Source organism: Homo sapiens, chromosome X, assembly GCF_000001405.40.
Source record: "Homo sapiens chromosome X, GRCh38.p14 Primary Assembly".
Classification (NCBI taxonomy): domain Eukaryota; kingdom Metazoa; phylum Chordata; class Mammalia; order Primates; family Hominidae; genus Homo; species Homo sapiens.
The window spans coordinates 86995945-87007258 of NC_000023.11; the positions used below are offsets into that span (position 1 = coordinate 86995945).

General features: G+C 35.7%; 1 annotated feature.

The window, feature by feature from the left end:
* Positions 10301–11110: an enhancer, noted in NCBI's record as "NANOG-H3K27ac hESC enhancer chrX:86261248-86262057 (GRCh37/hg19 assembly coordinates)". NCBI's record gives its function as "activates a minimal SCP1, AML or CMV promoter by ChIP-STARR-seq in naive H9 embryonic stem cells {active_cell/tissue: H9 hESC(naive)}" and the evidence as "EXISTENCE:reporter gene assay evidence [ECO:0000049][PMID:30033119]".

Sequence of the window (11314 nt, forward strand, 5' to 3'; positions counted from 1 at the left end):
TAACCCAAAGAAGACTTCCTCAAAACATTTAATATTCAAACTCCCAAAGGTCAAAGATAAAGAAAGGGTCCTAAAAGCAGCAAGAGAAAAGAAATAAATAACATGCAATGGAGCTCCAATACATCTGACAGCAGACTTTTTAGTGGAAACCTTACAGTTCAGGAGAGAAGGAGAGAATGGCATGATATATTTAAAGTGCTGAAGGAAAAAAACAAAGAAACAAACAAAAAAAAAACTATTACCCTCTAATAATATATCCAAAGAAAATATCCTTCAAACATGAAGGGGAAATAAAAACTCCCAGAGAAACAAAAGCTGATAACAACTTAACACTATTCACACAAACAAACACACAAACACGCAAAAAGAAAACAAATAAACTTGCCTTAACTTTGTCGCCTCTCTTTTTACCTTTTTCATATTTATATTTTCTTGTACTGACTATGTCTTGAAAAGTTGTAGCTATTATTTTTTATTTTCTTTCATTCAGTCTTTCTACTTGAGTTGTTTACACAGCACAGTTACAGTGTTAAACTACTTAAAATATTCTGTGTTTTTCTGTGTACTTATGATTACCAGTAAACTTTCTACCTTCAGGTGATTATTTAGCGCTCATTAATTTCTTTTCTTTTTGATTGAAGTGTGTACCCTTTATCATTTATCGTAGGATGGGATTGGTATTGATGACATTGCTCAGCTTTTGTTTGTCTGGGAAAATCTTTATTTCCCCTTCATATTTGAAGGATATTTTTACCTGATATATTATTCTAGGCTGAAAGGCTTTTTTTCCCCTTCAGCATTTTTAATATGCCATGTCATGTCATTATCTCCTGGTCTGTAAATTTTTCATAAAAAATTCTGCAGCCATTTGTATTGGAGCTCCATTGTACGTTTGTTTGTTTGTTTGTTTGTTTGTTTGTTTGTTTACTCTTGCTGCTTTTAGAACCCTTTATTGTTGACCCTTGGGAGTTTGATTTTTAAATGCCTTGAAGTAGTCTTCTTTGGGTTAAATATGCTTGGTGTTCTGTTACCTACTTTCATTTGGATATTGGTATCTCTAGATTTGGGACATTGTCTGTTATTAACCCACTGAATATGCTTTCAACTCCTCTTTGACTCTTCTTTAAGGTCAATAGCCCTTAGATTTGACTTTTTAGGATATTTTCGAGATCATGCAGGCATGGTCCATAGGTTTTTTAAAATTCTTTTTGATCTCCTCTGACTGTGTACTTTTAAATATCCTGTGCTTAAGCTCACTAATTATTTCTTATATTTTATCCAATCTGCTATTGAAGAACTCCAATGCATTCCTCAGTACACCAATTGCATTCTTCAGCTCCAGAACTTCTGCTTGACTCTTTCCACACCTGGCCAAGAGGAGTACTGCCAGACTAACTATGTTCCTTTAGGCCCAAGCTCTCTTAAGCCAGCCTGTGGTGAATGCTGCCTGGCCTGGTAATCACCCTTCAGAACGGTAGGCCTCTCCCTGGCCCAAGGCAGGTCCAAAAATATCATGTAAGAGTCAAGCCCTGGAATCAGGGACTCCAAGAGCCTGCTTGGTGTTCTATGCCCCTGTGGTGGTGTTGGTACCTAAAGTCCAAGAAAAAGTCCCTTTTACTTTTCCCTCTGCTTTTTTCAAGCAGTTTTGCCCCAAAGCCACACAGTTGGTAATGTGCTGAATCTCACCTGAAGCCAGCAAGTCTCAAAGCCACTAAGGCCTCTGATGTAGTATCTGGGTATTACTCCTTGTTATTCAGGGCCCAAGACCTCTTCAGTTAGCAGATTATGAAAGCTGCCATGACCGTGTTTTTTTTGTTTGTTTGTTTGTTTGTTTTAAGCAGCAGTTTTTCCTGTGGCCCAGGGTGTGTCTAGAAATGTCATATTGGTACTTGAAACTGAAATGGGGGCCTTATGACTCTGACTGGTGCCCTATTATGCTGTGGCTGAGCTGGTATTCAAGATGCATGCTAAAGTCTTCCCTCTCCTCTCCTCAAGTAAAAAAAAAAATGGGCCTTTTTAAGAGACAGGAGCTGTGAAGCCTGGTGTTAGGTGAGGGGTGATGTCAGCACTCCCTTGTCTGCCCAAGCTTGTGTGCTAGTACGATAAAGCAGTCAATTCAGCAAGAAGAATAACAACTTCGAATACATATTCACCCAAAACTGAAGCACCAAGATATATAAAGCAAATAAATATTAGTGCTAAAGAGAGAGATAGGCTCCAATATAATAATAGCTGAAGACTTTAACATCCCACTTTTATTACTGTATAGATCTTCCAGAGAAAATCAAAACAAAAAATTCATACTTAACCTGCAATACAGACCAAATGGATCTAACTGATATTTATAGAATATTTCTTCCAAAAGCTGCAAGATATACATTTGTTTTACCACAATGATTATTCTCAAGGATAGACTATATGTTAGGTCACAAACAAGCTTTAAAACATTCAGAAAAATGAAATAATATCAAGTATTTTCTCTTACTATGATGGAATAAACTACACGTTAATAACAAAGGAATTTTAGAATCTATACAAGTAAATGAAAATTAAACAATATGCTCCTGAATGACCAGTGGATCAATGAAGAGATTAAGAAGAAAATTGAAAAATATCATGAATCAAATGATAATGGAAAAACAACATACTTTAATTAGTCTGTTCTTGTATAACTATAATGAAATACTTGACACTGTGTAATTTATATAAAAAAGAGGTTAAATTGGCTCATTGTTCTTCAGGATGTAGAGAAAGCATATTGGCTTTTGATTCTAGGGAGGCCTCAGAAAACTTACAGTCAATAAACTTACAATAGCAGAAGGCATACGGAAAGCAGGCACATCTAACATGGCTGGTGCAGAAGAAAGAGAGACCATGGGGAGGTACCACACACTTTTAAATGAACAAACCTTATGAATACTCTATTATGAGAATATCACAAAAGAGATTGTTCTCAGCTATTTATAAAATTACACGCCCATGGGACCCACCTTCATTATTGAAGAATACAATTGAACATGAGATTTGGGTGGGGAAACAAATCTAAACCACATCAATATGAAAACTTATGGGATACAGCAAAAGATGTGTGAAGAGGGAAGTTTGTATCTATAAATGCCTACATCAAAAAAGAAAAAAAAATCGAATAAACAATCTAATGATGCATATTAAAGAACTAGAAAAGCAAGAGCAAACCAAACTCAAAATTAGTAGTAGAAATAATAAAGATCTGAGTAGAAATAAATAAAATTGAAATAAAAAACAACACCAAAGAACAATGGAACTAAAATTGGTTTATTGCAAATTTCAACAAAAATGACAAACCTCTACCCAGACTAAATAAGAAAAAAAAAAAAAAGAAATGCAATTTAAAAAATCAGAAGTGTAAAGGAGACATTATAGCTGATACTGCAGAAATTCGAAGGATCATTAGTGGCTACTATGAGTAACTATATGCCTCCAAAATTGGAAAATCTACAAGCAATGGAAAAATTCCTATATATATTCAACCTACTAAGATTGAACCAGGAAGAAATCCAAAACCTGAACAGACCAATAATAAGTAACAAGATAGAAGCTGTAATAAAGACTCTCCCAGTGAAAAAAAGCCTGGGACCCGATGGCATCACTGTTGAATTCTACCAAACATTTAAAGAAGAATTAATACCAATCCTCCTCAAACTATGCCAAAAGATAGAGGAGGAGGGAATACTTTCAAACATATTTTATGAGGCTGGTATTACCCTGATACCAAAACCAGACAATGACACATCAATGAAAGAATACAGGCCAATATTTCCGATAAATATTGATGCAAAAATCCTCAACAAAATACTAGCAAACTGTACTCATTAATACATTAGAAACATCATTCATCATGACCAAGTGGGCTTTATCCCGGGGGTGCAAGTATGGTTCAACATACACAAATCTATCAACATAATACATCACATAAACAGAAGGTGATTGATGCTGAAAAAGGGTTTGATGCAATTAAAAGTCCCTCCTGGAAAACAAAACAAAACAAAACAAACTCATAAAACTAAGAAGAAAAGAAACATACCTCAACATAATTAAATCCATATATAATAGGCCTACAGCTAGTGTCATACTCAATGGGTATAAACAAAAAACTTTTCCTCTAAGATCTGGAACATGACAAAGATGTTCACTGTCACCATTGTTATTCAACATAATATTGGAAGTCCTAGCTAGAGCAGTCAGAAAAGAGATGGACATAAAAGGCATCGAAATTGGAAAGAAAGAAGTCCGACTATTCTTGTTTTCACAAAATATGATGTTATATTTATAAGAACCTAAAGGCTCCACATGAAATTTATTAGAACTCATAAACAAATTCAATAAAGTTGTAGAATACAAATTCAACTTACAAAAATAAGTAGCATTTATATATGACAACAGTGAGCAATGTGAGTTAGATATTCAAAAAGTAAACCTATTTACAGTAGCTACATAAAATTAAATACCTGGGAATTAACCAAAAAATAATTGATCTCTATAATAATAACTATAAAATACTGATGAAAGAAATTAAAGATTACACCAAAAAATAGAAAAAAAAATTCCATGTTCATGAATTGGAAGCATCAATAATGTTAAGATGTCCATTCTACCCAAAACGATCTATGGATTCAATGCAGTCCTTACCAAAATACCAATGACATTCTTCACTGAAATATAAAAACAAGTCTAAAATTTATATGGAATCCCAAAAGACCCAAAAAAAGCCAAAGCTATACTAAGCAAAAAGAACAAAACTGGAGGAATTAAATTACCTGACATCAAATTATACTGCATAGCTATTGTAACCAAAACAGCATGTTACTGGCATAAAAACAGACACATAGACCAATGAAACAGAACAGAGAACCCAGTGACAAATTCACATACCTACAGTGAACTTGTTTTTGACAAAGGTCCTATGAACATACACTGGGGAAAACACCATCACTTAAATAAATGGTGCTGGGAAAACTGGATATTCATGTGCAGAATAAAACTAGACCCCTAAATCTCGGCATATGCAAAAATCAAATCAACATGGATTAAAGACTGAAATCTTATGCCTTTAGCTATGAAACTAATACAAGGAAACATTGGGTAAAATCTCCAGAACATTGATCTGGGCAAAACTTCTTGAGCAATATCCCCACAAGCACAGGCAACCAAAGCAAAAATGGACAAACTGGGTCACAGCAAATTTAAAAGCTTCTGCACGGCAAAAGATATAATCAACAAAGTGAAGAGAAAGCCTACAAAATGGGAGAAATATTTGAAAACTACCCACCTGACAAGGGATTAATAACCAGAATATGCAAGAAGCTCACAAAACTCCCTGGTATACTGTTGGTGGGAATATGAATTAGAAATATCTACTATGGAGAACAGTTTGGAGGTTCCTCAAAATACTAAAAATAGAGCTACATATGATCCAACAAGCCCATTATTGGGTATATACACATAAGAAATTAAATCAGTATATCAAAGGCATATCTGTACTCTCACGTTTGTTGCAGAACTGTTCACAATAGTCAAGATTTGGAAGCAATCTGTGTCCATCAACAGATTAATGGATAAAGAAAATGTGGCACATACACACAATGGAGTACTATTTAGCCATACAAAAGAATGATATCCTGTTATTTGAAACAACATGGATGTAAGTGGAGATCATTAGGTAGAATAAGCCAGACACAGAGAGACAAACATTGCATGTTCATTTTTTCATACGGTATGAAATAAGAACATCATGGAGAATGAGTTATCCATTCTCTCAAGCATTTATCCTTTGAGTTACAAACAATCCAATTATACTCTTTAAGTTATTTTAAAATGTACAATTAAGTTATTACTGATGATTACTTACTTGTGGGATCTAAAAGTAAAAAAATTGAACACATGGAAAGTAGAAGAATAGTTACCAGATGCTGGGAAATGTAAGGGTGTTGGTGGAGGAAGGAGGGAAAGTTAATGGGTACAAAAATAGGAGAATGAATAAGACCTACTATTTGACAGCACAATAGTGTGACCACTGTCAATAATAACATAATTATACATTTCAAAATAACTTAAAGGTGTATAATTGGATTGCTTTTAACTCAAAAATTAAGTGGTTGAGGGACCGGATACCCCTTTCTCCACGATATGATTATGAATACATAGTACTTGATAGCAAAACAGGATCATTATAGTCAACATAATTTAATTATACATTTCAAAATAACTTTAAAAGTCTAATTTGATTGTTATACAAAGGATAAATGCTTGAGCAGATATATACCCCATTTTCCAGGATGTAATTATTACATATTGCATGCCTATATTAAAACATCTTATGTGCCCCATAAATATATACACCTACTATACACCTCCAAAAATTAAAAATAATAAAAAGATAAACAATTATAAAAGAATAGGGTTTACCAAAGGTAAAGAACATGTGAACTAAAAATATTGAATATGAAGTTAGTGAAACAATAAAAAATAAAGAGCCAGACTATTGAAGCAGAATTGATTAAAAGCGTATTTTTAGCTTTTAAAACTTTTCTCTGAATTTTATTCAAGTAAAGTATCTTACTGAATTGAAATAATCTCACTTGTAAACTAGTAATCATTAGGAAAATTTAATAGTAGAATAGAAATTTTTGAAAGATAATGCTACTCAGTGCAATGTTAATTACTTGACTTGCTTGTAGAAAGTCCTCAGTCAATATTTGACATTGTTACTGCTGGGAAGATGATAAAGACACTTTTTGCACCATTATTTAAGAAGAGTAAGGTTTAGATAATTCTGTCTTGCATTCTGATAATACTTCCAATACATGGCTGGCTATTGTAGTCTAGGTATCAGTCATGTAATATCGTGTAGAGAAGATGCTAAAACTATTGATCATCTTTGAAGCACCCTGTTATTTTCACGTGAGTCTTTCTGAATACAAAGGAATTACAAGCTCCTTTTATCCAGCAATGATATTGCAATCTACTTTTACTTAAGCCCACAAACAGATAGTGTGGAAGAATTGTCTTTATGACTAATTTTTGTCAAACTATATTTAAAACTATGTCAACAAATATGACATTTCATACTGCTCTGCAGGAAGCCTGTAAAATATGCTCATGATTTTAAACAGCAGGGAAGCATCCACTACAGGGATTAACTGGTAACATATGCCACTGCTGCTGAAATAATTTTTAATCCTGTTATACATTAATGTAGCATTTTTCTTCTGTTACAATAAGGCAGCCATCTGTGCCTTAACCTACTGGGAAACTGTGGATATACATATAAAAAGAGAAGGGAGAAAGAAAGGCAGATAGGCAGGAAATTTACATTTGTAAAGTTAGTATCTAAAGTCAAAATCTTTTAAACACATTATTTAAGGAGTTTGATAGATATCTAAATAGTTTTCAACTACTAAATTGAAGCAACTACTTAACTACTAAATTAAAGCAACTGCTTTTTAATTTTTACATAAATAACTGCTCTTTACTTGTACCAAAGAATTCTTCTTTACCCACCTATCTCTGAAAGGTGAAATGTATATAATTGAGCCTGGAAACATTTGTTATTGTTTTACAAAATATGCTTTGCAATTGGCACTGACTCCCAAATATTCATAGAAGATAGTGTGGATGATCCAAGAGCTGCTGTAATTCAAATGCAGTGTAACTGCATTTTAGATGCTTATTTTAAAAAGTGATGATTCAGAAGGCAGAAAGGGAGAAGGAGTAGCTAATTGTTAGCAGCTTTTGCCAGTTACAAATGAACACTTGAACCCTAGGATGCTGAAATGGTAGTGTTTGGATTTTCACTGACCTGCCTCCTCTAGATAAAGCATAAAGAAGCACTTCCTCATATCTCACATGAATATGTGTTACTTTAATGGAAGGCAATATTCTTTACTAAAAGAAATATGTTACAGGGTAAGAAAGTCACAAGACTTAGGTTCTAGGACTTCTCTATCATATAAATATATACAATACCTTTATTATCCTAAACTTATTTCTGCATTTACAAAGGAACACAATAGACTAAATTGTTGACTTTCAGCCTTTTTTCAGTAGTTGAATATTTTGAAAAAATCTCACATAGGAGCATATTATGTAAAACCATAAAGTGTAAGCTGTTTTTACAAAATGGAATGAGTGACCCACAAGATCCTTCAGCTTAGAGTGGAGGGAGAGTTAGATAGAAAATGCATGAATTTGATTTATAAAACTACACATTAGTGGAAAATGGTAGCAGTTTATTTATTTATTTTTTGTTGTTGGAAAATGTATCTAATCATGAATTAATGGAAAGTTACAATATCTGTTGCAATGAAAAACTATAATAAAAATTCCAAGGGGGAAAAATAATAAAACATAAATGGATCACGACCTGAAAATATATATAAAAAGAAATGATAAAGAAGCAATACAATATTAATAACAAAATATTGGCCGGGCATAGTGGCTCATGCCTGTAATCCGAGCACTTTTGAAGGCTGAGGCAGGAGGATCACAAGGTCATGAGATCAAGATTATCCTGGCCAGCATGGTGAAACCTCATCTGTAATAAAAATACAAAAATTAGACAGGCATGGTGGCAGGCACCTGTAATCCCAGCTACTCGGGAGACTGAGGCAGGAGAATGGCTTGAACCTGGGAGGTGGAGGTTGCAGTGAGCCGAGATCGTGCCACTGCACTCCAACCTGGTGACAGAGTGAGACTCCATCTCAACAACAACAACAACAGCAACAGCAACAACAACAAACAAAATATTAAAGGAGAACAAATTTAATACTCTGCAGAATAAAATAATGGACATCAAAACTCTAAAATCATTCATCTATAATGTCCATTTTATAATTTACCAAAAATTTTAATCCGCATGAATATGGGCCTTATAATTAACATAAATGAACAATAGAAGCAGACCTGAACATAAGCCAGATGTTGGAGTTATCACACAAAGACTTTAAAACAGGTATTATGCTTAGGGATTTCTAGGAAAATGTGAATGTAACAGAGTAGACATGGGAAATTTGAGGAAAGAAAAGAAACCTTAAAATGAAAACCTTAGAAATAAAAAATGCAACATCCGAAATAAAAAATATATATATTAGATAAACTTAAAGGAAGATTGGATGCCATATAATAAATAATCAGTGAACATAAAGAGTGACTAATGGAAACTAGTGTAGCTGAAGGACAGTTAAAAACAGACTTAGAAAGTATAACTGAAGCTAGATAACCTGTGGAATAAGGTTATCTAGATTCCAGTCATCAAGTGGTCTAAAATGCGTGTTACTGGAATCCCAGAAACAGAAAAGAGAACAATGGGGAAGAAAATGTTTGAGTAAATATTTGTGAAACATTTAAAAATATATTCAAAACTGAAAAGAACACCTATGCAGAACCAAAAGTGAAACTTGACATGCACTAGTGAAACTTCTGAAAATCAAATATAAGGAGGAAATCTTCAAATGTGCTAATGGAATGGTGGGTGTATTAGTCGTATTAGTCTGTTATCATGCTGCTATGAAGAAATACTTGAGACTGAATAATTTATAAAGAAAAGAGATTTAATTGACTCACAGTTCCATATGGCTGGGAAGGCCTCGGGAAACTTACAATCATGGCAGAAGGTGAAGGGGAAGCAAGGCACGTATTACATAGTGGCAGGAGAGAGAGAGAAGAGGAAATGCCACTCTTTTAAGCCATCAGATTTTGTGAGAACTCACTAGCATGAGAATAGCATGGGGAAAACTGTCTCCATGATTTAATTACCTCCTGCTGAATCCCTCCCACAGTGTGAGGATTATAGAAACTACAATTCAAGATGAGATTTGGGTGGGGACACAGTCAAACCATATCATTCCACCGCTGACCCCTCCCAAATCTCATGTCCTCACAATTCAAAGCACAATCCTGCCCTTCCAACAGTTCCCCAATCTTTGCTCATTCCAGCATTAACCCAAAAGTTCATGTCCAAAGTTTTATCTGAGACAAGGTGAGTCCCTTCTGCCTATGAGCCTGTAAAACTGAAAGCAAGTTGGCTACTTCCCAGATACAATGGGGTTACAGGCATTGGGTAAATACACCTGTTCCAAATGGGAGAAATTGGCCAAAATAAAGGGGCTATTGGCCCCATGCAAGTCCAAAGTACAATAGGGTAATCATTAAACCTTAAAGTTCCAAAGTGATCTTCCTTGACTCCATGTCTCACAACCAGGTCATGCTGATGCCATAGGTGGGCTTCCATAGCCTTGGGCAGCTCTGCCCTTGTGGCTTTGCAGGGTACAGTCCCCTCCCAGCTGCTTTTACAGGTGGTGTTGAGTGTCTGTGTCTTTTCCAGGCACACAGTGCAAGCTGTCGGTGGATCAATCATTCTGGGATCTGGAGAATGGCGGCCCTCTTCTCACAGCCCCACTAGGCAGTGCCCAAGTAGGGACTCTAAGTGGGGGTCCCAACCCCATGTTTCCCTTCCACACTGCCCTAGCAGAGGTTCTCCAAGCAGGCCCCACCTCTGAGGCAGACTTTTGCCTGAACATCCAGGCATTTCCATACATCCTCTGAAATCCAGGCAGAGGTTCCCAAACCTTAATTCTTGTCTTCTTCACACCTGAAGGCCTGTCATGAAGTAGAAGCTTCCAGGGCTTGGGGTTTATACCCTCTGAAGCAATGACCTGAGATGTATCTTGGCCACTTTTAGCCATGGCTGAAATGGCTGGGAGGCAGGGCACCAAGTCCCTAGGCTGCACACAGCAGGGGAGCCTTTGACCCAGCCCAGGAAACCAGTTTTCCTTTCTAGGTCTCTGGGCCTGTGATGGGAGGGGCAGTCATGAAGGTCTCTGACATGCCCTGGAGACATTTTCCCCATTGTCTTGGTGATTAACTTTAGTCTCCTGGTTACTTATGCAAATTTCTGCAGCAGGCTTGAATTTCTCCCCAGAAAATGAGTTTTTCTTTTCTCTGGCATAGTCAGGCTGCAAATTTTCCAAACTTTGATGCTCTGCTTCCTCTTGAATGCTTTGCCACTTAGAAATTTCTTCCAGCAGATATCCTAAATCATCTCTCTCAAGTGCAAAGTTCCACAGATCTCTGGAGCAGGGGCAAAATGCCACCAGTCTCTTTGCATAGCAAGAGTGACCTTTACTCCAGTTCCCAACAAATTCCTCATCTCCATCTGAGACCACTGCAGTCTGGACTTCATTGTTCATATCACTATCAGCATTTTGGTCAAAGCCTTTCAACAAGACTCTAGGAAGTTTCAAACTTTCTCACATCTTTCTGTCTTCTCCTGAAGACC